Source organism: Homo sapiens, chromosome 5 (genome assembly GCF_000001405.40).
Source record: "Homo sapiens chromosome 5, GRCh38.p14 Primary Assembly".
Taxonomy (NCBI): domain Eukaryota; kingdom Metazoa; phylum Chordata; class Mammalia; order Primates; family Hominidae; genus Homo; species Homo sapiens.
Genome location: NC_000005.10, coordinates 170229995 through 170257904, shown reverse-complemented (window position 1 = coordinate 170257904; position 27910 = coordinate 170229995). Strand labels below are relative to the sequence as shown.

Sequence of the window (27910 nt, the reverse complement as noted above, 5' to 3'; positions counted from 1 at the left end):
GACATAAAACCAAACTGAGCATTAAGAACGATATGTTAATCCACCAGTGTCCTCTGAGTCTCTGCTTGAGGTGAGAGGGGTGAGGAATTGACTTCCTCCTTGATCCCTCCAGATAGAATGGGCCTTTTGGTAGAAAACAAAGAATATTTTCACTTTATGAGTTCAAACAAACAACAATAATTAAGAAACCCAGTTAGTCTAAGTACTTGAAGTTCATCTGCATCTTAGTTGGGGAGACTGAGAAAATGCGCCTCGTGCTTGGCTGATGCTAGGAATTCATTGCAGTCTCTGTCCCCCTGTTTTCTCAGTAGCAGCTGTGTTTCTCAGGGCTGGTATGAGGCCGCCCAGGGGCAGATGCATGAACAGGAGAAAGGCCCAGTCATTGTCCCCAAACAAGCCCACGGGCAGCCTGTGGTGTCCCCCAAGTCCTCCAGCCCTGTAGGCTTACCTTCTCCCTTAATATTCAAGGAGAGAAGCCAAGATCCTTCCCTAATATTGTAGAAAACTCAACCACCCACAAGACTCATCTACCCCCACCAACTCCTAGCAGGATTCTCACAATGTTTCCTCTGCCCTGGGACCCTCTGGCCCTGAGTTTCTGCTGCTCTTCTCCCTCTTCCCGCTGGCATCTGCTGCCCTTGTCTGCTGACCCTCCTGCTGCTTTCCTCCATGCTAGCCCCAACCCCATCCTTCATTTGCACAAAATCCCACTCACACAAGGTTGCTGTGCAGAGCAGACTTTTCCCAAAGGTTTAGACTGATGGGTGCAGGAGTTGCTGCTCAGTGTGGAGGGAACAGACTGCATTTCAGGGCCCTCTGGGCCCGCCTCCCCACCCCAGCCCTGCAAATGCTATCACCGTCTGCTGCAGAGCCCACCTAACATGCACTTCCCTTCTCACCTGGCTTACTCTCTCCTTGCAGACCCTAAGCCCTGGGGATTCACTGCTCACCAAAGACAAGCCCATTAATATAATTTCCTAGCAAAAGGGAAGTCTTCTGAGAAGAGGACTTCTGTATTCTCCCAACTCAAAGAGCTCAAGTTGCAGCCAATTTTTAAAGTAACTGTTAAGTGCCCTTTACACAGTTGAATGTTGTTGCTGTTCTGCTTTATAAAGCTTGTTAGACTTTGGCATGGTCCACAGCGGAATGTAGTTCCATTCCCTGTGTGCTGTGTTCTGTCCCTGTGCCCAGCCCCCATGGTTTTGGGGGCAGCAGGGAAAGTGATACCAAATCAAGAAGCATTTGCAGCCTGGCTTCCCTAACCCAGCTCCCCTGTCTGGCCCCATCACCCCAATCCAAATAAATTTTGTTCTTTTTCTGTCTCCTCAGTAACAGCAGTTTTCCACAGAGTGCCTCCCTGCCACCATACTTCTCTCAAGGTTTGTACTCTGGGCTTTTGTGACGTGCTTCAGCCATCAAGCCTTTATGACTGGATCCCTAACCTGTCCCAAAAGCTTTCGACAAAGGTTTTATTGTTTCCTAAAAGCATCTGATTTCCTCATTCAACATTTAATTCCGTGTCTGCAGTGTGCCAAGGGCTGTCGGAATGATAGGATAGTACCTAAAACACAACACATACACACACACGTATACATATACATGCCCATACACACATGCACATATACATGCACACACACACATGCATACACATGTACACATATATACATGTGCACACAGGTATACACATATATACACATACACAATACATGCACACACATGCACATGCATACACACATACATACATGGACACACCTACACACACTTCACCAGGAAGCCAGCCCTCATCCCCAATCTTCCTGTGCAGAACTATTCCTCCAGCTCCGGTTTCCCTACGGAATCCTCAGAATCCTGTTTGCCTTTCTCTGCAGTTTTAGATTTCCATGATCAATCTGTCCATGGTTGTGAGTTGGGGAGCATGTTCAAAATACAAACTAAGAGAACTTAACGTCACAGATTCTGATTCAGTAAGTCCGGAGTGAAGTCAGGGACCTGTGTTTTTAATAATACCACCTCTGGACGTCCATGATTAGTATTCGCTTAGAGTGTTCTGCAACTTGAAAGTGCATATAGATCACCTGGGAATTGTGTTAACATGCAGATTCTAATTCAGGAGGTCTGGGGTGAGGCCTGAGTTTCTGAATTTCTAACATATTCCATGCGATGCTGTGACTGCTGGTTCATGAACCACTTTGAAAGGCACTGGGGCAGGACTAATTTGTGCTTTTTATCCTTAAAGACTTGCAAGTGACAGGCACTTGGTAGGCACTTTAAAAATGCTTGTCGAATGAGCATCAAATGACTAGGGAAAGTTACCCAACTCTAGTAAGTAGCATTCCAGGAAACTGGCTTAGCATTGCCAGATTTTCCAATTTTTTTCTCAAGAAAAGTGAAATTATTTAATTTTTAAATGTTGACTTAAATTTTTAAAAAATGCTGTGAAGAATGACAACAGAAAAGCCACTTTTTTTGCAGTCATGTTCCACATGCAGTGTGTGCACGGGCCAGTGTGTGTTCAGTAGAAAACTATGTTAGTAAATGTGAGTTGATAGCCTGAGAATCAACATTTTTTCCAAGAACACATCTAGGGTATTCAGTTGGATGCATCATTCCATAGAGGGGCGAGATCCCACTGCTGACGCCAGTGGCACCCACTAAGTTTTCAATGTTTTCTAAGCATTTGAGGTTATGGTGGTGTCCACGTTCACCACATGGTTTTCACAGTTTCTCGCCCAACCCCTAATTTTCCACAATCCCCAAAATTCTCTGTGTTTTGCAAACACACATTTGTGTTACCTCCTTGCCTCTGTAGCCATCTGAGTCCCAGACACATCACAGCATTATTTTCCAAAGCAAGTTCCACAGATCTCCAGTTTTATGAGTCTGTGATGGGGCTTATTAATGCAAATAGTTAATTATTTTTGGAACATTAGCTTGATCCAAATTGATCTCTTTTCCCCTAAGACTGCCAGGACACCTGGTCCTCGGTCTTCTCTACTGGTTCTACTGGTTGTTCCAACATCAGAAGGATAAAGTTTGTGCTGTGCATTGCCCAAAAACCTGTCATGACTCCCTTGAGAGTCTAGATATTAAGGGTGGTAGGTGACTGCAATAAAAAAGTGTATGTGCTTCTCTGTTGTAACTTAGAACTCTATGATGCTGGCCTGCAGGTGCAGAGGCAGAAAGAGAATCATTTCTTAACTGTAGAATGGCCATGCAATGCGGGCCTTGGTTCTGTTACTCTCCTGTATTGTTAGGTTTCATTCATTCAACAAGCATTATAAAAGTGCAAGTGTTGGACTGCAAAAAAAATGGGGATGGGGAAGATCTGTCTAGGCACTGGGAACTTGGAGAAGGAAGGCACTGGCAGCTCAGGGCCAGCTTGTTTAGAAACAGGGAAGGAGCATCTTAAACAATCCTGTTGATGTGGCTCAGGAGACTTGTTTAAAAACAGGGAAGGACCATCATAAATAATCTTGATGATGCGGCTCAGGAGGCTTTAGCCCTTACAGGTGACTCTCCTCTCCTCAGTGGTGTAACAAGGTAGACGTAGTGACAATCCGTGGTGTAGAACCACCGGAAGTACTTGCTAACATGCAGATTTCTGAGCCCCAGGTGCTCGCAAGTCGCCCAGGGATTCTGACTCATGCACAGTAGCATTTGGTAACCACAGGTTTAAGTTTTGGCTTTGCCACTGATAGCGCATGATTTGCTTAGCCTCTGAGCCTGTATTTCCCCATATGCAAAATGAAGACAATACCTACCTTGTAATGTTGCTGTGAGGATTAAAAAAAATGTACACACGATACCTTACTCAAGATCTGGACAGAGTTGTGCTGAATAAATATTTGTTGAAGGTATGAATGAATGATGGTTAAATAATTAAGAGAACATTTGACTCACAGAATTTTTCTGTTTTTAACCACAGCCTGGCACATAGAAAATACCCTGGGCAACTGCAATAAACACAACTAAACCTTTCCTGAGATTAGGAAACATTCTCCTAAAGTTTCAAGGAACTGTAAATGAGAAAAAAGAGTTTTAGAGAAGATGAGGCACAAGCACTGGGTAATTAATAGTTGCCCAGTAAAAACTTCCTGATCTGTAGTGCCTTCTATGTGAGTTGAACAGTCTACCTGTTTAGTTAGAACAGCGGGTAGCCAACTTTGATTCTAAAAGCTAGCAATATTCTCAAGGTAATTTTGTCTTCTCTTGGGTCACTTACATTTCTTTTTGTGGAAACATTAAGAACATAATTATCTTCATCATTGCATTGTCCCTACATCAGCTGTTGGGAATCCATTCTGCCTATGATGATATTATAAGAATCTATGAAAAATTTGTCTCTTGAGCATTCATTTTGACGTTCACATTCATTAAAACAATTGCGAATTTTTTTATAAAGGGATCTAGTCACTTTATATTATGTAACATGCACATTTAGAAAAATCACTCAAAGTTGAGGTTCTCTTCTCAAAGTTTTACTGGCATGATTACAGAATAATGCCTGAGCAGCCCCCATGGTTTCAAACAGATGAAAATTATTTTTGAAGCCCTTGTTTCTTAAAATGCGAACTATAGGACCAATCGCAAGGGTATTTTTTTGGGGGAGTGGGGGGAATGTGTTTTGTGTTTTGATAGCAGCAAACAATAGCTTACAGTAAATTAACTGTCAGAATTCTATACTTTTGAAGGCCCTAGCAACAGACCACCTATCAGAGCCGAAGGCAGAAACTTCCCCTTGCCACTTCCAAACAAACCTCGGCCCCCATCCCCCGCGGAGGAAGAGGTAAGAGAGCATGTTTTTATTTTTGTTTGTTTGCCTTTTCCCTGGTAAAAGAATCACCAGAAACTCCCATTGAATGTTCTTCTGTACTTTTATCTTCCCTTTGTTTTATTTTATTTATTTGAAAAAAAAGTTAAAGGAGAAGATCCAGATGAACAATATGTTCTTTTCCCTTGGCGTTCTTTCAGACGCTTTCAATGGCAAACATGTGTTTTGCATTAAACAGCAAGAAAAATAATCCTGTTTTTTATGTTTATGACCTTGATTCGTCACTTAACTGCTCAATAACCCATTTTTTTAATCAAGCAGGTTATTATGCTAAACTGAAGAAATTATTGTATCTGTATCTTTCCTGAAGAGGTTCCATACTGTAAGGAACTCTTATTCACAGGCATTTTTGCAACCAGTGTCATGATAAAAAGCAGTTCGCACAAAATATCTTCTATTTAGCCCCAGCTAAATGACTCTGAATGCAAATTAAGAAAACAAATGTTTCAGACCTCCTGGAATTGAGGTGTTGATTTATGGAAATGATTACTCAGAGGCTTTTCTTTTCACTTACATCTGTAACTGTAAAATTTATTCAGTTTCTAAAAATTTACATTTTCAGAATTCATTAAATGAAGAGTGGTACGTTTCTTATATTACCCGACCAGAGGCAGAAGCTGCTCTTAGAAAGATAAACCAGGTATTGTGCTATAGTTTATTTTAACATAGTTGTAAATATTAATGGCAGAGAAGGGAACTGACCTGTCCTGAGTACCAATTACAGGCTAGGAATTCTGCTAGGTGCTGTTGCTTTCTGTAATACCTAGGAGACCCATTAGTGCCAGCTTCACAACTACCAGCACCCATAGCAGGGATTCCTAGGCTCGGGAATCATTAGGCTGGCAGAAGAATCTCAAGGCAGTCATTTGGTTGGCAGCATCTTAGGAGATTTTATTAATGAAAGAGTCTGTCTTGTCATAGGAATCACATGGTGTCAGAAGGAGACTCTCTTTCAAAGTTCCAACATCGTACCAGTTCTATCTTCCTCTTAACACAGACGTGCCATCCATGTTGATGTGAAAGGACCAATATTAAAGAGATGGCAGCAACTTTTTGCTTTTTGCCCTAGACGTTTCTAGCTAGTCCTTTAATATCATAAAGTCTTAAACATATTTCCCGTAGCCAGTGCCGAAACTTTACCTTAGATTTATTTATCAGAAATGGGAAAGCAAAAATCTTTCATCTTTCACACTTAAACTCCACACCAGTAGTTCTCAGTAGTAGTTGCACATTTAGATCACCCGGAGAACTTTTGAAAAATCCCGATTCCTGGGTCTCACCTTGAGATTCTAATTATTCTGGGGGTGCTGTGTCAGCTCTGGGAGTCTTCAAACTTCCCAGGTAATTCTAATTTGAAGCCAAGACTGTGAATCACTGGTCCAGAAGTATGTTTGTTTAGCAGAGATGTTCTGACAGGCTCAATTAACTTGCAATAAAAGGAACAAAGGAAAGTCATTATTGCCAACTCATGGCTATTTAAAGCTATCCTGATTTGGTATGAGGAGAAGGGAGTAGTTTAAAGGAGTCCTTACCAATTAATTCTATTTTAATATTAGATCTTTACAGTATTAATATTATGTAGCAATAATTTATTGAATGGAAATTTAAAGTACAGGACAATCAAAACAGTAGTTTAGCAAATATCAGAAAAAAGAAAAGAAAAGAGAACATCTGCATTCAATTTTGCTCAAGGGTCTGATGAAGGAAAGACTATCTAGAGATCACAGGGTTTTAAGAAGGGTGAATTTCATGGCATGTGGATGTTTTCTGACTTTGGATGTGGAAAAGAAAGTTTAGGGAATTAACTCACAGGAATACTAGGAAGATATATCTTGAGTTAACCAATAAAGTATTTTATTTCTCCTGGCCTTTTATCCACTCAACCACCCATTATTTATTACTGAACAAAAGATTCCGTTTTTATCAGGAGGCTTTAACGAGATTGACTTGGAAATTTCTTTGATACAATCTCTGTTGCCTTTCTTAATAACAAAATAACTCATGACACATGGGATATGTAGCTGTTTGGAGAACTGAATGTTCGTTGAATGACAGGTTTTGCACTCAAGAAGCTGCAAAGTGCAACTGACATGTTTGTCAGATCCCTAGAGGCTTGTCTACTACTCTTACAAGCAACAAAAATATTGACTTTTACTGCTCCCATAATAACAGGAATTTGTCTTTTTAGGATGGCACATTTCTGGTCAGAGACAGCTCTAAAAAAACAACAACCAATCCATATGTCCTCATGGTGTTGTACAAAGATAAAGTTTACAACATCCAGATCCGTTATCAGAAGGAAAGTCAAGTTTACTTGTTGGGAACTGGACTCCGAGGGAAAGAGGTAAGGATTTCAAATTTCGACATTTTCCCAAAGTCTTTATTTATGCCACTCTGCATGCCTTCATGGAGCGATCTTTGAGAGTCCGTGCTGTATGGCAAATTTAGGATTAAATCACATGAGTGAAGCCCTTCATTTATTGGAAGAGAAATAAAGCAAAATCTTTACAATGGTTACTTCTGCCATAGGATTCTTTCTTGTATATCTTTTCTTTCAAATAATCACATGTATAATTTTCAAAATCAAGAAAAACTATGTTAACTTAAAAAAATCTATTTAGATGGTGTCAAAGGAAAGTTCCCACTATTATTCACCTCTGTGGCATAATTTTAACGTAGGCTGCATTTTAAGTTGACACCACCTGGAAAAGGGGAAAAATTAGAATATTTGCTGGGGTGATTATTCAAATACTTGGCTCATTTCTTAACAAAATGGAGGTTTGGCTCTGTGAGGATGGCCAGATCGCCAAAGAAATTCTCTGTTAGGCCAAGGTTTAGATTCTCATGCCAGTCACTTTTTGAGTGCTAATCAGAACGGATGGAAAGAAACCCTCAGGGCTAGTTTTTCGCAAAGGAAACTAACAACTGAAGGTAACGCCCCAAACATACTCTAAGTTCAAAGTTCCAAGAGGAGGACCAGCTGAATCAAACATGTCCAGAATGAGAAACAGCTTACCCATAACTTCTGCTTCACATACTTCTGTTATGATAATGTTAATGAATAGAAAAAAAATGCATGCTTGTGATCAAATGTTTGAATCGCTGGTTGGCAGTGGATAGAGCTGCACAGACCCTATAGGAGCAGAGGTATTTGCCCTTCAAGATTTATCTTGGTCCAGTGTGGAAACACACAAGTGCAGACCAACCACTCATTGCAGCTCCCATGGAGGGAGGCACCTAGCAGATTAGTCTTAAAGGAAGTGCATTATCCTGTTAGGGTTCCTAGGTGAGTTGTGACCCACATCTAGAAAAATGAGTTAGGCTTTTCCCTCTCTAGCAAGCAATCAAGGCTGGGGCGATCCAGGCTATGGCTGCAAATATTGGTTGCTGAGCCTTTATGAGTGTGAAGGTGGCAGTGAGGACACAGCAGAGAGATCATGAAGGAACTCCTGTGCCATGCTGCAGATCCCACCTCTAGACACCATGAACCGTGTCTGACCTCCTGAGTCCTTATGTTTCCTAACACTATTAATGACTGGGGGTGAAATAGAGATGCAGAAACCAAAACCAAAACCAAAAACAGAGCAACCCGAGGCAAGAATATTGTAATAGTGACTATTTAAATGACCCCTTCATATGAAGTTAAAAATATATGCATTTCAAATTACATATATATATATATAGATATGTAGATATATATATATATATATACACACGCATGCACATATTTTATCTATTTTTTTTTGAGATGGAGTTTCCTTCTTGTTACCCAGGCTGGAGTGCGGCAATGGCGCAATCTCGGCTCACTGCAACCTCTGCCTCCCAGGTTCAAGCAATTCTCCTGCCTCAGCCTCCCAAGCAGCTGGGATTACAGGCGCACACCAGCACGCCCAGCTAATATTTTTCTATTTTCTAGTAGAGACAGGGTTTCACCATGTTGGTCAAGCTGGTCTCAAACTCCTGACCTCAGGTGATCCACCGGCCTTAGCCTCCCAAAGTGCTGGGATTACAGGGGTGAATTACTGCACCCGGCCCATATTTTATCTTTATCTATGGTTTGTTGGATGTTTATGAGGAATTTTTTCAAAGTTCTATAGCAGAAATCATTAAACTAATTGCCACATTTACATTTTTTCCCCCCACAATCCTCATCACTTGAAGAGGCAGCATATATTATGCAGATAAAAAAACTGAAAGTGAAGTTCCTGCTTTTCATTCCAATGTTGACTCATCTCCCTATCTTGACTCTTTCAGGACTTTCTGTCTGTGTCAGATATTATTGACTACTTCAGGAAAATGCCACTTCTGCTCATTGATGGGAAAAACCGAGGTTCCAGATACCAGTGCACATTAACGCATGCTGCAGGGTACCCATAGCAAGTTATAGCCGAGCAAATGAACCGTCCTCCTGCCTCTGTTGCCAACACGAGATCAATCAGCCTTGGTCAATGGACAAACACTTAGGACTGAACTGAACCCCTCCCCATGAACACAAGGGTTTTATCCTTTCCTTTAAAAACAGTGTTTGAAATGAAGACTGTCAACTATCCCATAATTTATTTATTCTTCTTCAATGTTTGTAAAGTGCATGAGTCATGTTCACACTTGAAGTCTAGTAGTGCACTGTAATAATTCATTTTTTAAAAGATTATTTAATGCCCATTTCAAAATACAGTAGTTTACACAGCTACAGAAACAATTTGGGGCAAGTTTTAAAACACTGAAACAGTAATAGTTATTGGTGTCACATAAAACTGATTTGTTTTTTACAGCCAAACCTCTGTCAGTCAGAGGCATTCATTAGTTTTATACATGTAATTTGAAAATCACTAAACCTCGTTTTCTCAGCAGCAATAATTTAAGAGGCTTCAAAAATATAATTTCACTCTTATTTAGTATTTTTTCCTGGGGGCATTTTTACGTAATTTTTTTATGAAAAGACAAATGCATGTTGAGATAACTTCTGGGATTAAAATAGTCTTTTGCTTTACTTTTTTGGTTTCCTAAAACAACTTTATTGACTTTTAGTCCATACTGTTATATTTTTGTCTTAAAGAAAATTTAAACTACAAATACCAAAAGAAAACATTTTAAATTTAGGGATGAGACTTTGGTGTATCGTGGGTCTAGGTTTAATGAACACATCTGGGGTTAAGTTGGCATTTCTTCACATCTCCACACCCACACCAACCATCACAGCCCCCCACCAACCTTCTCCCAACCCCAAAAGCATTGTCCAGGGATATAGATTTTACCAAAGGCTTCCTGGGAAGACGAGGGAGCAACACTTTAGATTAAATGTGATCAGACTTTCCTATTAGATATGGCTCTTCTGTCTCTTGTTATCCCCCTGACAGCTCTGCCATAAAGTCCCTTCTCCTCATCCTTCCCAAACAGGCTGTATAAGTGCTTTGAGGTAATTAAACTCTTTCCTCCAGTTTACAAATATCACTTAACAAAAAATATAGGCATTCAGCCAGATTAAAAAACTGGTATTCAGCCAAATAGTGACAATCAGTTGTTCTTCAAGTTTTTCCCTTTGGGACCTTGGTTGTTATTGCACAACTTTTATTAGCAACAATTTTTGGCGTCTCTGCTTAATCTACAAGTTTTCGAAATGGAAAAGAGTATCTTGCAGCTTCATTTTCATGAGCTAATAAAAGGGGTATTGGAAGGAATCTAAGAAGTCACCATTTTAAAACTGATGATATGTTAAAATAAGGAGTATGCAGAAGGTAGAGACTTTTAACTGATGATAAAAATGGTGTTTCACAAAATCTCATCCTTAACAACCAGAAGTTCTCAGTTTAGGGTCCAAAACTTGGGAGTTTAAGGCTGAAAACCCTGCATTCATTTACACGTCTACACAACGGGCTATTCAGCAAGTATTTACTTAGTGGCTCTTCTGTGTTAAACAAGTGAGCTAGGTACAAGGTAGTAAGGATAGCATACACCATAGGTTCTAGTATCGAGTAAGCTCCACTTGTCTTGCTTTGCCGTATTCTATCTTTACAATTCAAAAATATCTAAAATGAAGGACCTGATAGATTTCAAAGCAACTATTTGGTAGCGAATCATGTTTATAAAACAAACCAAAGCTCATTTTAAGTCTATTAGTGGAAAGTGCCATCAGGATTAAGATGTTCTGTTCCATGGCTATGACTGAAATCAATGTTGGGAAGCTAATGTTTTCATGACTAGCATTCTCTCTCTGTTCAAGCACCGACAACTCCTTTTGGCTGGGCCTTGCCTCTTTTGGCCACAGACCTTCTATATGACCCCAGGTGCATCAGTCACAGTTGCTCAGAACCCTGCTCAGTGATAAACATCTTACTAAAGCTGGGTCAATCAGGGTCACTCTCTGGAATGTTAAACATGAAGCCTGAGACAAGATCTCTCTTTTATCTGGGGTCCCCAAAGGCAATGCTGTACACTTGGAGCTGCCTGCTGCCCTGCAACTACTCCCATTTACCAATTATCTGGAAGAACCAGTCTACAATAGAAGACAACGAGGCCAACACACAAAAACACAGTAAAAGTATGGACAAATTAGTGGGATCCCTGAAATCTATTCCAACTATGTGCTTCCAAGTCACATGACTCAATAAATGCTTCAGCTGGTTGAGTTGTGCTTGGCGTTCACTACCAGGAGAGTTCTGATTAATAAAAACTCATTCCATCAATTAATAATTTAGTAGCTCTCTTTCAACCTGAGCCAAATTCAAGCATAAGCTAAAGGATAAGCAGTGACCCATGGCCAATTTCCTATGTCATACACTTGCCATTAGTGACGTAAGTTAAGCCATTCTTCAAAACATTAAACAGCCTTCAAGAACATGAACTGCTTGTTTACATTATTTTTATTTTGTTTTAAATTATATATATACAAATTAGTAAACTCAACTCTCCCAAATATTTGTTAGTTCAACAATAAAACAGAAACTCATAACAAATAAGAAATCAGATAGAAAAACTGTTAGAAACAAGGGATACATCTGATATTTTAGACTCTTCAAAGAGGGGGTTGTTTCTTTCTGCTTCTGCTAAGTTCTCAGTCTTGATGGGATGATTAAAATGTAGGATAAGGTCACAAAGCAATAACTGGGAGAGCTCTGTGCAAAACAAAACAGGAGATATTATATTGTAGCACATATGTCATAAAAAACTATTATTGCTTTAAGTAGCTATTTCTTCCTAATTCCTAATTTCCAAGTGATTAGTGATCAAACCACAACTTAAGTGTGTCCCATTCTGACTTAAAATAAGATTTATGCTCTCGAGGAGCCAAGATGGCTGAATAGGAACAGCTCCGGTCTACAGCTCCCAGCGTGAGCGACGCAGAAGACAGGTGATTTCTGCATTTCCATCTGAGGTACCGGGTTCATCTCACTAGGGAGTGCCAGACAGTGGGCGCAGGTCAGTGGGTGCGCGCACGGTGTGCGAGCCGAAGCAGGGCGAGGCATTGCCTCACTTGGGAAGTGCAAGGGGTCAGGGAGTTCCCTTTCCGAGTCAAAGAAAGGGGTGACGGACGCACCTGGAAAATCGGGTCACTCCCACCTGAATATTGCGCTTTTCAGACCGGCTTAAAAAACGGCGCACCACGAGATTATATCCCGCACCTGGCTTGGAAGGTCCTACGCCCACGGAGTCTCGCTGATTGCTAGCACAGCAGTCTGAGATCAAACTGCAAGGCAGCAGCGAGGCTGGGGGAGGGGCGCCCACCATTGCCCAGGCTTGATTAGGTAAACAAAGCAGCTGGGAAGCTCGAACTGGGTGGAGCCCACCACAGCTCAAAGAGGCCTGCCTGCCTCTGTAGGCTCCACCTCTGGGGGCAGGGCACAGACAAACAAAAAGACAGCAGTAACCTCTGCAGACTTAAATGTCCCTGTCTGACAGCTTTGAAGAGAGCAGTGGTTCTCCCAGCACGCAGCTGGAGATCTGAGAACGGGCAGACTGCCTCCTCAAGTGGGTCCCTGACCCCTGACCCGGCTAACTGGGAGGCACCCCCCAGCAGGGGCACACTGACACCTCACACGGCAGGGTATTCTAACAGACCTGCAGCTGAGGGTCCTGTGTGTCAGAAGGAAAACTAACAAACAGAAAGGACATCCACACCAAAAACCCATCTGTACATCACCATCATCAAAGACCAAAAGTAGATAAAACCACAAAGATGGGGAAAAAACAGAACAGAAAAACTGGAAACTCTAAAACGCAGAGCGCCTCTCCTCCTCCAAAGGAACACAGTTCCTCACCAGCAACAGAACAAAGCTGGATGGAGAATGACTTTGACGAGCTGAGAGAAGAAGGCTTCAGACGATCAAATTACTCTGAGCTAACGGGAGGACATTCAAACCAAAGGCAAAGAAGTTGAAAACTTTGAAAAAAATTTAGAAGAATGTATAACTAGAATAACCAATACAGAGAAGTGCTTAAAGGAGCTGATGGAGCTGAAAACCAAGGCTCGAGAACTACGTGAAGAATGCAGAAGTCTCAGGAGCCGATGAGATCAACTGGAAGAAAGGGTATCAGCAATGGCAGATGAAATGAATGAAATGAAGCGAGAAGGGAAGTTTAGAGAAAAAAGAATAAAAAGAAATGAGCAAAGCCTCCAAGAAATATGGGACTATGTGAAAAGACCAAATCTACGTCTGATTGGTGTACCTGAAAGTGATGGGGAGAATGGAACCAAGTTGGAAAACACTCTGCAGGATACTATCCAGGAGAACTTCCCCAATCTAGCAAGGCAGGCCAATGTTCAGATTCAGGAAATACAGAGAACGCCACAAAGATACTCCTCGAGAAGAGCAACTCCAAGACACATAATTGTCAGATTCACCAAAGTTGAAATGAAGGAAAAAATGTTAAGGGCAGCCAGAGAGAAAGGTCGGGTTACCCTCAAAGGGAAGCCCATCAGACTAACAGCGGATCTCTTGGCAGAAACCCTACAAGCCAGAAGAGAGTGGGGGCCAATATTCAACATTCTTAAAGAAAAGGATCTTCAACCCAGAATTTCATATCCAGCCAAACTAAGCTTCATAAGTGAAGGAGAAATAAAATACTTTACAGACAAGCAAATGCTGAGAGATTTTGTCACCACCAGGCCTGCCCTAAAAGAGCTCCTGAAGGAAGTGCTAAACATGGAAAGGAACAACTGGTACCAGCCGCTGCAAAATCATGCCAAAATGTAAAGACCATCGAGACTAGGAAGAAACTGCATCAACTAATGAGCAAAATCACCAGCTAACATCATAATGACAGGATCAAATTCACACATAACAATATTAACTTTAAATGTAAATGGACTAAATGCTCCAATTAAAAGACACAGTCTGGCAAATTGGATAAAGAGTCAAGACCCATCAGTGTGCTGTATTCAGGAAACCCATCTCACGTGCAGAGACACACATAGGCTCAAAATAAAAGGATGGAGGAAGATCTACCAAGCAAATGGAAAACAAAAAAAGGCAGGGGTTGCGATCCTAGTCTCTGATAAAACAGACTTTAAACCAACAAAGATCAAAAGAGACAAAGAAGGCCATTACATAATGGTAAAGGGATGTATTCAACAAGAAGAGCTAACTATCCTAAATATATATGCACCCAATACAGGAGCACCCAGATTCATAAAGCAAGTCCTGAGTGACCTACAAAGAGACTTAGACTCCCACACATTAATAATGGGAGACTTTAACACCCCACTGTCAATATTAGACAGATCAATGAGACAGAAAGTCAACAAGGATACCCAGGAATTGAACTCAGCTCTGCACCAAGCGGACCTAATAGACATCTACAGAACTCTCCACCCCAAATCAACAGAATATACATTTTTTTCAGCACCACACCACACCTATTCCAAAATTGACCATATACTTGGAAGTAAAGCTCTCCTCAGCAAATGTAAAAGAACAGAGATTATAACAAACTATCTCTCAGACCACAGTGCAATCAAACTAGAACTCAGGATTAAGAATCTCACTCAAAACCACTCAACTACATGGAAACTGAACAACCTGCTCCTGAATGACTACTGGATACATAACGAAATGAAGGCAGAAATAAAGATGTTCTTTGAAACCAACGAGAACAAAGACACAACATACCAGAATCTCTGGGACGCATTCAAAGCAGTGTGTAGAGGGAAATTTATAGCACTAAATGCCCACAAGAGAAAGCAGGAAAGATCCAAAATTGACACCCTAACATCACAATTAAAAGAACTAGAAAAGCAAGAGCAAACATGTTCAAAAGCTAGCAGAAGGCAAGAAATAACTAAAATCAGAGCAGAACTGAAGGAAATAGAGACACAAAAAACCCTTCAAAAATTAATGAATCCAGGAGCTGGTTTTTTGAAAGGATCAACAAAATTGATAGACCGCTAGCAAGACTAATAAAGAAAAAAAGAGAGAAGAATCCAATAGACACAATAAAAAATGATAAAGGGGATATCACCACCGATCCCACAGAAATACAAACTACCATCAGAGAATACTACAAACACCTCTACGCAAATAAACTAGAAAATCTAGAAGAAATGGATAAATTCCTCGACACATACACTCTCCCAAGACTAAACCAGGAAGAAGTTGAATCTCTGAATAGACCAATAACAGGAGCTGAAATTGGGGCAATAATCAATAGTTTACCAACCAAAAAGAGTCCAGGACCAGATGGATTCACAGCCGAATTCTACCAGAGGTACAAGGAGGAACTGGTACCATTCCTTCTGAAACTATTCCAATCAATAGAAAAAGAGGGAATCCTCCCTAACTCATTTTATGAGGCCAGCATCATTCTGATACCAAAGCCTGGCAGAGACACAACCAAAAAAGAGAATTTTAGACCAATATCCTTGATGAACATTGATGCAAAAATCCTCAATAAAATACTGGCAAAACGAATCCAGCAGCATATCAAAAAGCTTATCCACCATGATCAAGTGGGCTTCATCCCTGGGATGCAAGGCTGGTTCAATATATGCAAATCAATAAATGTAATCCAGCATATAAACAGAGCCAAAGACAAAAACCACATGATTATCTCAATAGATGCAGAAAAAGCCTTTGACAAAATTCAACAACCCTTCATGCTAAAAACTCTCAATAAATTAGGTATTGATGGGATGTAATTCAAAATAATAAGAGCTATCTATGACAAACCCACAGCCAATATCATACTGAATGGGCAAAAACTGGAAGCATTCCCATTGAAAACTGGCACAAGACAGGGATGCCCTCTCTCACCAGTCCTATTCAACATAGTGTTGGAAGTTCTGGCCAGGGCAATTAGGCAGGAGAAGGAAATAAAGGGTATTCAATTAGGAAAAGAGGAAGTCAAATTGTCCCTGTTTGCAGATGACATGATTGTATATCTAGAAAACCCCATCGTCTCAGCCCAAAATCTCCTTAAGCTGATAAGCAACTTCAGCAAAGTCTCAGGATACAAAATCAATGTACGAAAATCACAAGCATTCTTATACACCAATAACAGACAAACAGAGAGCCAAATCATGAGTGAACTCCCATTCACAATTGCTTCAAAGAGAATAAAATACCTAGGGATCCAACTTACAAGGGATGTGAAGGACCTCTTCAAGGAGAACTACAAACCACTGCTCAAGGAAATAAAAGAGGATACAAAGAAATGGAAGAACATTTCATGCTCATGGGTAGGAAGAATCAATATCGTGAAAATGGCCATACTGCCCAAGGTAATTTATAGATTCAATGCCATCCCCATCAAGCTACCAATGACTTTCTTCACAGAATTGGAAAAAACTACTTTAAAGTTCATATGGAACCAAAAAAAGAGCCCGCATCACCAAGGCAATCCTAAGCCAAAAGAACAAAGCTGGAGGCATCACACTACCTGACTTCAAACTATACTACAAGGCTACACTAACCAAAACAGCATGGTACTGGTACCAAAACAGAGATATAGATCAATGGAACAGAACAGAGCCCTCAGAAATAACGCCGCATATCTACAACTATCTGATCTTTGACAAACCTGAGAAAAACAAGCAATGGGGAAAGGATTCCCTATTTAATAAATGGTGCTGGGAAAACTGGCTAGCCATATGTAGAAAGCTGAAACTGGATCCCTTCCTTACACCTTATACAAAAATCAATTCAAGATGGATTAAAGACTTAAGCGTTAGACCTAAAACCATAAAAACCCTAGAAGAAAACCTAGGCATTACCATTCAGGACATAGGCATGGGCAAGGACTTCACGTCCAAAACACCAAAAGCAATGGCAACAAAAGACAAAATTGACAAATGGGATCTAATTAAACTAAAGAGCTTCTGCACAGCAAAAGAAACTACCATCAGAGTGAACAGGCAACCTACAAAATGGGAGAAAATTTTCACAACCTACTCATCTGACAAAGGGCTAATATCCAGAATCTACAGTGAACTCAAACAAATTTACAAGAAAAAAACAAACAACCCCATCAAAAAGTGGGCGAAGGACATGAACAGACACTTCTCAAAAGAAGACATTTATGCAGCCAAAAACACATGAAAAAATGCTCATCATCACTGGCCATCAGAGAAATGCAAATCAAAACCACAATGAGATACCATCTCACACCAGTTAGAAAGGCAATCATTAAAAAGTCAGGAAACAACAGGTGCTGGAGAGGATGTGGAGAAATAGGAACACTTTTACACTGTTGGTGGGACTGTAAACTAGTTCAACCATTGTGGAAGTCAGTGTGGCGATTCCTCAGGGATCTAGAACTAGAAATACCATTTGACCCAGCCATCCCATTACTGGGTATATACCCAAAGGACTATAAATCATGCTGCTATAAAGACACATGCACACGTATGTTTACTGCGGCATTATTCACAATAGCAAAGACTTGGAACCAACCCAAATGTCCAACAGTGATAGACTGGATTAAGAAAATGTGGCACATATACACCATGGAATACTATGCAGCCATAAAAAATGATGAGTTCATGTCCTTTGTAGGGACATGGATGAAATTGGAAATCATCATTCTCAGTAAACTATCGCAAGAACAAAAAACCAAACACCGCATATTCTCACTTATAGGTGGGAATTGAACAATGAGATCACATGGACACAGGAAGGGGAATATCACACTCTGGGAACTGTGGTGGGGTGGGGGGACGGGGGAGGGATAGCATTGGGAGATACACATAATGCTAGATGACGAGTTAGTGGGTGCAGCGCACCAGCATGGCACATGTATACATATGTAACTAACCTGCACAATGTGCACATGTACCCTAAAACTTAAAGTATAATTAAAAAAAAAATAAGATTTATGTTATTACAAAATAAGCATGACATAAAAACTTACTAAAAGGGTGCTCTTTAGCCCAACTTCTCGGCTATATCACTAAACTGCAACTTGATTTATACAAATTTGATTTATATGGTTTTAACTTATTTTTATCTATGTTATACATGCATATAGTACCAAGAATCAGATAAGTCTAAGGCATGTTACAAAAAAACTGCAGTTCCAATCTCCCAGAGGCAACCATTTTAATTTTTTTTTTTTATAGCTCACTTTGTTTTTGTTGCTTTGGTCATTTCAGTGTGTCTGTTTTGAGTATTTTTATTGTGGGGAGTGGTGGGGTGGTGTTTACCTCTGTAACTTTAAATTTTTTGAGATTTGATTTTTTTTTTTTCAATTTTCAGTGTTACCTGCCTCTGACACAGAAGATTAAGATACAGCTCTTTCACACACCCTCTTCTCTCCCAATATACTTCAGGAAAAATTTTTGCTTAGCTCAATTATCTAATGTTTAAATGTTAATTATACAAATATTCTTCATAGCTGAGTCTTGTCATATGACATTTTCCTTCCTGCACGCAACCCACCAGAGGTAATAATTGGGTTTTTGCATTGCTGCATTATCAGAAATATATCCTAAATGTCCCCCAATTGAGTAAATTTGCTCTTGGGTTATTCAACACCTTAGCTATTCTATTGTTAAACGTCTCTCCTCTCCTGGAGCCTTCTGATTTGCTCCAATCTGAACTGATTGCTTACTAGCACTGCTGTACAGCTGGTATCTTGGGAACTCCCTTCACTAATATCCTAGAGACTCCTTTTATCCCTCCATTCTGTGGAGTGCCCTTTTCCCCAGATTCCTGTGTCTCTCTTTTTGATCTGTTCCCTTGTTTGGTGACATATAGGCTCAGTAACTTCCAGAGGGAATAAAATTATATGTCTGAAAATTTATCTACACTAATCCTTAATTAGGTTGACTAGCTATAGAAATCTAGGTTGGAAATCATATTTTTTTCAGATTTCCAAAGGCACTGCTGCATTGTCTTCTAGGTTCCAGTGAAGCTGGAGTCATATGAGAACTTTCATATGATTGTTTTGTTTTCAGAAGCTTTACAGATCTTTTTGTTCTCTCAGTAGACTGAAATTTCACAACATTCTGCCTTGGTATGAGCCTATTTTCATGCACTGTGGTGGACTCTTTCATTGTAGAAACAAATGCCCTTCAACTCTAGGAAGTTTTCTTTATTTCTTTAATGAATTGCCCTTCATTCCTTGTGTATGTTCTCTCTTTCTAACACTCTTATTTGTTGGATGTTGGACTTCCTTCACTTACCTAATCCTTTTCCTCCCCATCACCAACACTTTCCATCTCTTTTGTTTTGTTTACACTCTAGAGGAATTTCTTCATTTTACCTTTCAACCCTTCTATCGAGTTTTTCATGTCTATGGTCACATTTTTAATTTCCAAGAGCTCCTTCTTGTTCTCTGAATATTTTTTATAGTATGTAGTTCCTTTTTCATGGATACAGTATCTTCTCTTCTCTCTGAATATTAATAATTTCTTGAAATTTTCATCTCCCCTCATTATTTGTTTCTTCCTCATTGAATCTGTTGATTTTTTCTCTGCTTTTTAATATTAGATTTGTCCCTCAAGTATCTGTTGTGCCTTAGTTGCCCATATTTAAGACTGTGACACTAAAAAGACAATTGGAAGTTCTGCACCTGTGGTACTCAATAATGTGGGGTGTTCTGGCTGGGTTATTTTGTTGGGAGAACCTCTGCTATTAGTATCTTTAGATCTTTTATCTTAGGCTGGTCAGATTCCTGAGAGAAAAATCTACTTGGTGGGTATAAATCTGGCTGCCAGTATTTTGGTAGCCCAGTGAAGGAAAAAAAACTGGGGGTCTTGTAATTTTGTAAGTAAACTTTGTTTCAGTGTCCTTCTTTACAGTATACTACTTTCCCTCAACCTATGACTAGTGGTTCCAGGGCAAATATCCTTGTTTTAACCTCAAGTCTTTTGTCACAGTGAAGGGATAGCTGCCCAGCTATGCAGAGGGCAGAAGAGACCTCAGGGATCTACAATTCTTATATATTTAACTAGTCTTCCTATTATCCAAATTTCACCCCTACTTCCAGAAGATCCTGGTGCCACCATGAATTGAGTCGTAGGGGCTATTTTTGGCTTTACCCAGCCAGCTTAGGGTTCAGATTTTTGGGCTTTGGGGTTCAGACTTGTCTATTTGCTTCTCCATTTGCCTTTTGTTTTGTTATCTCTTCTTGGAATCTCTTTACTTGTGGATTTTTGTCTCTTTAAAAATCACTTAAATTTAAATCTCAGGTGTACCACTGACTAGTTGCTTGACCTTGAAAAAGTTAAATCTCTCTATTTACACATCTGTAAATGCCAATGGCAATAGTTCCTACCTCATAGGATTATGATGAAGAGAGTTCATTTATGCAGAGCTCTTAGAAGAGTCCTGGATTATGGTAAATTCTGTAAAGGTTGGCTGCTGACATTACTATTTAGGGGAGGAAGTGAGGGTGCACAGAGTGTTCATTTAATCCTCTACATTTACCAGAAGTCTACCTTCCTAGCGTAGCTCTACAGGTCCCTCAGAGTCTAACTGCCTGACCTACCCATACAATGTCTCAAGAAAACATCTATCACATAGTTATTACATTTTATTTTATGAAAGAATATTCTCCAAACTAGAACAATTAGATAATCAAGTTTGGGGGGAATCTAAAGCTTCTTAACTGTTTTAAATGAGTTCAAGCATCCAGAACCATTTATTCATTTAATAAAAATTTTTTAAGAATCGAATCAATCAAGGCACCGTGTTAAGTACTAGAAATACCCATAAGGAGCTTACAGTTGAGCAGGGATAAGAAAAGTAAGGAAATATGCAATTATAAAATAGTATAACAGGTGATAGCAAAAGGCAGAAAGGATAACATGCTGGCTCAAAAAAAGTTTTCCATTGTAAGAGACCTTGACTACTAGCAGTTAACCTGGTGTGTTGGAGGTAGGGTATAGCAATGGGATTTCAGACAGACAAGTATGTGTTGAAACAGATACAGAAAAGCACTTGTGGAGATATGCAAATAGTTCAGTACAGCTGGAGCATAGAACATGCAGTAAGAACAGAGTAAGAGACTAGAGGGGAAAGGAGGGGAATGATCTGAGCAGGTCATATAGTCCATTCTAAGATGTTTAGACTTTATCCTGAGGACAATGGTGAGCCAATGAGGGTTTTCTGCAGATTCGCATTTTAGAAGGAGAATCTTCACTGTGGTGTTGAAGCTGGTTTTGAGAAATGATGAATTAAAGGTAGTCAGATTTCTTAATATGTACTGTAAATTTGTGAAATATGTAGCATAAAGCACTTTCCAAACTTATTTGGCCATAAGAACATTGACTCTGTTCTACTGTACACCATCTATTAACATTGCTTGAAACAGCAGGGTTCACAGATCAAAGTCCAGGAAATGCTGTCCTAGGGAGAACACATGGAAAAAGCATATTAGGCACTCATTATTTGGTGCCTAACGAACGGCCATGCCCTCTTCTTCTTGGAGTCACAGCTTGATTTTGTTTGAGGTGTTCCTTTCCCCAGCTCCTGTAGTAAGTTCTGAGTGGTCCAAACTGGTCTTGGCAGTCCCAGTCCCCTTAGCTGTGGCTGCTGTAAGCATCAGCATGTGATGCAAATCTGGCCAATGAAAGGGAACTGTGCTGGAGGGATCTGGGAGGAGACTTATAAAAAGAGACTGTCTATATATGAGCACCTCTGAAGGTAATGATCATGAGGGGTAATAAAGAGAGTGAACATGACAGAGCAGAAAGATGGAAAGAGCCTGGTCCCTGACAAAATCTTTAAACCTCTGAATTAACTTTAGGGCTCTGCTACCTTGGATCTTCTTGTTTTTCCTTATTGTATAAGTTAAGTTGGTTTTTTTGTTACTTATAGATGTAGGCCTCATAACTGACACAGGTTATCTTTAAATACCCAAGAGTTGTTTTAAAAAGAATAACTACATATTCAGTGTAGTTTTCATGGTTAGAAATAGGACTCTTAGGTGAAAGCAATAGGGGAACAGATTTCAGCTAGCTGGTGAGAAGGAATTGTTTAAAATAGAATGGATTGACTAGTGAGACAGGAAGTTCCCCAGCATAAGAAATGTTTGGTCAGGGATAGATTATCCCTAGAAATATTCAATCACAGAAATTTTCTTGGGATAAAATAACTGAATATGTCTGTGAGGTGAGCGACTAAACATCATGACCTATAAGGTCTAATCCTACTATATGAATCTGTTTAAAATGAAGAAGCTTTAAGTCACAGAATCTAATTTATACTTTTTAATTTGGAATGGACCTTAGGGGCTTAGTAAGAATTTATAAAGACAATGAATTTTGCTGAATGTGACATAGTCTTGAATGGTGTGTTGAAGGGAAGGAAGGGAAGTAAAATTTACAGAGGTTAGACAACCTGATAAGCTTATTAATGTCAGGGATGGGAATTCAGGTCTGCTAACTCCAAAGTCGAACATAATTCATCTTTAGAGATCTAGTTCACTTACACTGAAAACATTTGTTAAGAAATAGAGAAATCCTAATTAGTGGGCAAAATTTACTTATACCCCAGCAGAAACACAAACTGGCTCTATCATTTATTTTATAACAATGACATGCAAACATTTTAGTGATTCAATACTTACCTTTTATCTTCTTCAACTCCGAAGAAATTGTGTTAATATTTTTAATTACTTTGTCCACATTTAGCTTATGATCAGTAACACGCTTCTTACCCATCTGATTTTAAAAGAAAAACAGAAACAATGTATAAATCAGTATTTATGTGTACTTTTAAAATACTTACATTTTCAGTATTTCTATAAATCTGTTATTTCAGAAATAATTATGAAACAAATCTTTATAAATGGTTAGAATTCTAACATCAAAAGGCATTAATGTGTTATGTAATATTTTTCCAACTAAAAACTCCAACTGGAATTTGTAGGATGAGGTTCCTTCCTCAATCAAACCATATCCACAAGATAGGGCTTACAATGGAAATGAAGATGTCCCCTTTTCAGAAAGCCTCAGCCCTTATAAACTACCTTACAATTTAGCGTTTGTGTTAAGATCTTCTCTAATTTTGTTTATGTAAGTCCATGTCTTTTTCTAACTTATTCTTGAATAACAGGGCCCACATATGATTTAAGTACACAGTGAAACTCAAAAAAGAATTTTATTCTAATTCATTAAGAGGATAATTCAATTATAATCCACTAAGAGTATGGCAAATGGCTGGTTTGGTTTTGGGAGTTAGAGTAACAGACATTTTAATTTTGGTTAACTGAAATGTATAAATCAACGCATTCCTATGTTATACAGTACCTGTATTTAACCAATTGTGTCAGATACAAATATACAGAGAGGTGGTTCACTAGAAACTAGTCTTAAGCTGTTCAGTCTCTCAAAATGACTTGAAAAACTCCATCTCAATTAGCATACACAACTCCAGCAGTGTGAAAGGTGGGCAGTCATGGGTCAAGCTGCTTGTCCAAAATAATGAAAACAAACTAACCTTTAAGTCAATCCTTGCCTCTACCTTTTCCTGAGCAGGGAGAATTTCTGCAATTTCTCTCATTTCAGAGCCACTGTAAAAAAACTAATTTTGTTTCCCAGACATTAATAAAATGCGCTTTGCATCTACCCCCAAGACCCCATTCTCCAGGATGTCAGCTGCCTTCCTTGGGCATGCCAAACCAAGAGTCAAGTTGCAGGGAAAAAGAAAGATGATATTTTAACAAGGGGTGGAGTGGTGGAATTAAAGAACTTCAAAAACAAGGCAAAAGTTTTTTAAAAATAGTAAAGTAGAAACTAAATGATTTTAGAGCCCAAGACAGTGGCCTCTCTCCACTCTGGTTCTCCTAGGCCCTCGAGCACCCAGCGCGTGGGTGGGGTGAGGGCACAGTGGGGTGCTACACAACAATGTAGCTGGGACTGGACTGGAGGCAGGACAGGTCTGGGTCAAGCCCTCCCCGGGGAGCTCGGCCAGGCCACTACCCAGAAAGGAGAGGCTGCTCCAACAGCAATTCACCGGGAGTGGGGAAGCGGAGACCAGACTGTAGGGGCCATAGGAATGGGGGGTCAGAAGCCAGGATGTCGCTGACTCAAGGCCTGATACCACTAGAGCGCCATCTCCGGGCCACAGGACGCCGCCCAGGCCCTCAGCCCGCAGCCCTGCAGAGCCATCGTTAGCACCGCAGGTTCTACTCTGAAAGCCCAGCCTCCTCCTTGGCCCAACTGACACCTGGGAGGAGCCCCAGATCTTTAGGGCCCTCAGCGACCCAACTGCCCATGAAGACCCCCCAGATCTTTGGGGCCATGAGCGGCCCAACCACCCGCTCAACAGCTAAAGATGGAGCCTGAGGCATCTGGAAGTTTCCACAGTCCTCGCCCTCCCAGACAGGATTTGGAATGAACCTTTGGGGCTTACTAAGTTTCTTGCCAAGTGGACAGGATTAGGGTAATGTAAAATGCCCTCAGAGTGACCCCGGCCTACGGACAGCCACCAGCCGCCAGGCCCACCCAGCCAACCGTCCCCTTCTCGGCCCAACCGACACCCAGGGAGAGGCTCCGAGGCCAGCCCGGCCCACCGCCCACCCGTTGGGTGGTGGAAGGTGGAGCCTCGGGCAGCCTGGAAATTTCAGCGGTCTTCACCCTCCCAAACCAGATTAGGATCCTTCAAGACCGAGCAGCCGTCACTACCCACCTGGCCAACCGTCACCGAGGTTCTGACAGGAGCAGGGAGCCGACGGTGAAGGCGAAGCCGCGCCCCCTGATTGGCCAGCTTCTCCGCCTGCGGCATCCTGGGAGTTGTAGTCCCAGGCAAGGCCCCTACGGAGAAGGTTCTGGATGCCGGGTTACAACTGACTCGCGCGGCCACGTTGGCGGAAAAAGCACTGACATTCCTTACCCCCAGTGTGCCAGGCTTTTGCAACCCTTATCTGCATTTGAGTCGCACAGGATAGCGGTAGCGTTAAGTGCAGACTCTGGAATGAAGCCACTTGGGTTTGAATCCTATTCTATCACCTGCTTAGTTGTATAGATGCAGATAAGCGATTAACTATTCAGAGTGCAGATGTCCTCACCTATCGTATGGAACGATAATAACTGCCTTCCAGTGTTAGTTTGAGGGTTAAGTGAGATAATTCATCAGAGGTGCTTGGCAGATACCAAGTGCTCCATAACTGTTAGCTATTATTTTTCCTATAACATTTTATAGGAATGATAATAGTAAAGAGTAGCATGAATAAAGAGATGAGTTGAGACATGGAAAATGGTTTTTTGCCAAGCTGAGAAGCTGGGATTCGAGCCGTCTTTTGCTTGACTCCAGAGGAATCTCTGCCACTGCAACCTTTGAGGCAGGCCCAAAGATTTTTCTTGGTGCCCTGAGAAATTGAGGAGTTTAGGCTTTCAGCACAAGGTGCTATACAACAAGTCTTTGCGTCTATGCCTCCCCTATAGTACACACCAGCCTCTTGAACCATCACCTTCCTGAAAGCCCACATCACAATTGTTGGGTATTTTATATCCAATTTCCTTCACTTTAACACTGCAGAATTTGTTGTCGAATGCAATTACCTAGATGAGGAGGGACAGAGGAGAACAGAGCTTAATGATAACCAGCTGTATGATCTTAGAAAAGAATATCTTCCTTATTCTGAGTCTCTGTTTCCTTATCTGTTTTCTATTGAGAGGGATGGGCTAAACCAGTAGTTCCTAAATTGTACTAATTGCTGGGCCACTGTTAAGATTCTGTGCTTATGGCACTCATATTATTATTATCTTCTCCTAAACACCTTATTGTCTCCTGTGGTTAACTACAGGGAGTTTCTAAAGGTGAAGAAGTTTTTAATGATAACCAGCTTTGTAAAATACGAAGCTATATTATTGCCTTCATATTTTAAATCTACTTATTTTTAAAATTTAAGTCTACTTAAAAATCTTTATATCACCAGTGTTAAATAGAATAAAACGTAAAGTCAGGCCAGGCACGGTGGCTCGCCTGTAATCCCAGCACTTTGGGAGGCTGAGGTGGGTGAATCACGAGGTCAGGAGTTCGAGACCAGCCTGGCCAACATGGTGAAACCTCGTCTCTACTAAAAATACAAAAAATTAGCTGGACGTAGTGGTGGCCACCTGTAACCTCACCTACTCAGGAGGCTGAGGCAGGAGAATCGCTTGAACCCGGGAGGCAGAGGTTGCAGTGAGCCGAGATCGCACCACTGCACTCTAGTCCAGGTGACAGAGTGAGACTCCATCCCAAAACAAACAAACAAAACTCATAAAGTCATTGGAAAAATAAAGACAGTGAAAATAAGGCATATTTTAATCATGTATATACGCTCGCAACCAGTTGCAGTGTTTTCTGCAGCCTGATCTTTTTTGTTAAAATGGGTTCTTATTAAGTGTTAGAGAAGTGTTAAAGACAGTCTAGCACAAACCAAGACTTTCTTCTTGATATAATTAGAATGACTGAAAGAGTTAAAAGAGGAATACAAATACGGGGAGACCAACATAGGGTAAGCAACATTTATTTCTAAATTAGGACATTAATGTATAAAACCAAGCAAAAAGAACTGGCTTCATTGTATTATAAAAGCAAGGATAATTTAAAATCAAAACAGAAGGAAGAAAATAAAAGGAGGAGGGTCTTAACTTCAGAATAAGACTATCTTGACAGAAAGCTTACAGGATGTATCCTTTCTCCTCCTCACTTATTTTGATGATGAAGAAGTAAAAACTTCTTCACTTTTAGAAACTCCCTGTGGATAACTACAGGAGTAAATAAGGTGCTTAGGAGAAGTAGGTGGGTGGAGATAGCATTAAGACTGAGAATCCTGAAAATCAAGTGATGATGGGCACTGGGGTTGGTAGGCTGGAGTGTCCTATTGTCCCAAGCACACTGAACTCATTTTTGGGTTCCTCAATTGTTTGCAGGAGCTATCATAGCTCTACTACCTGTGAATTGCAATCCACAGGATTTTTGGCAGAATCTAAAGGCCTTGGATCCATCCAAAATGCTGACTGCTTCTTATGAATATATCAAAACTACTGCTATTTGGAATAGATCATCATTAAGCCATTAGTTATTCACAAAGAAAAATCAACTTTGTGTTCCTTTTAAATAAGTGTTCTAAGAGGAATAAAAGAGATTAAAAACTCAGAAAAAGATAGGTTTAGTAATGCATTTCTCTCTATAAAACTGTCTTGGAGCAGTGATGACTACTTATTGCACTGTTTTCTCTACTTAAATAACTATAGATTTTGTCTCTTTGTGTTTTTTTTTCCCTAATAAAATGAAAGTTTAAAAGCATGGTTTGCTACTCAGGGTTAGAGACTTACAGCTAAGGCCCTAAAACAAAATCTATCTTCTTTAATAAGTGTGAAAATACAACACTTTACTGGAACCCAACACAGATTGCAGTTGTTGATTCTAATGTTAATCAAACAAAAGGGATTTAAAAACTGGTAAATGCTCCCATAAATAGAAAAAGGTGCTGCAGACCAGCAAGGTGATCAAGCGTTTTATGGAGTTGAGTGTGTGCACCTCGGCTAATTTTATTACAGATTCTTGACATAAAGTCTTCATTTCCAGGAAAACAAATTGAGTAAATTATCTTACTTCTTCCACTAGATCTCAGGGTTCCCATTTTCCTCCTGTCTGTTCATTATCAATTAAGAGTGCTGGCCTCTGTGTCTAGGGACCAGCTCCCTGCTGG

General features: G+C 40.4%; 2 protein-coding genes across 14 annotated transcripts in view; one reads left to right on the top strand and one right to left on the bottom strand.

Annotated features, from left to right (window-relative positions):
* The window catches only part of LCP2 (lymphocyte cytosolic protein 2), a 51545-nt gene extending 39873 nt beyond the window's left edge, over window positions 1-11672 (top strand). For both annotated transcript variants that reach the window (XM_047417171.1, NM_005565.5), the window contains 5 exons: window positions 1330-1379; window positions 4692-4786; window positions 5394-5471; window positions 7020-7175; window positions 9086-11672. In XM_047417171.1, the coding sequence (XP_047273127.1) occupies window positions 1330-1379; window positions 4692-4786; window positions 5394-5471; window positions 7020-7175; window positions 9086-9208 (502 nt within the window). In that variant the 3' untranslated portion in view covers window positions 9209-11672. The remainder of the gene's footprint in view (window positions 1-1329; window positions 1380-4691; window positions 4787-5393; window positions 5472-7019; window positions 7176-9085) is intronic.
* Window positions 5335-24920, bottom strand: C5orf58 (chromosome 5 open reading frame 58). 12 transcript variants are annotated; one of them, NR_161261.1, is made up of 5 exons: window positions 24898-24920; window positions 23707-23790; window positions 22835-22928; window positions 21652-21825; window positions 11674-11943 (listed from the first exon to the last, which is right to left on the bottom strand). NR_161261.1 is itself a non-coding variant. In XM_047416711.1 (4 exons), the coding sequence occupies exons 2-4, from the start codon at window positions 23767-23769 to the stop codon at window positions 11792-11794; spliced, it is 309 nt and encodes a 102-aa protein (XP_047272667.1). In that variant the 5' UTR covers window positions 23770-23790; window positions 24622-24920; the 3' UTR covers window positions 11674-11791. The 12 variants fall into 12 exon arrangements, 7 of the variants coding, with proteins under 7 accessions (XP_047272667.1, NP_001096079.2, XP_016864521.1 ...); NR_161262.1 differs by having other exon boundaries at window positions 21652-21798; NR_161263.1 differs by having other exon boundaries at window positions 23707-23779.
* Between the last annotated feature and the right edge of the window lie 2990 nt (window positions 24921-27910).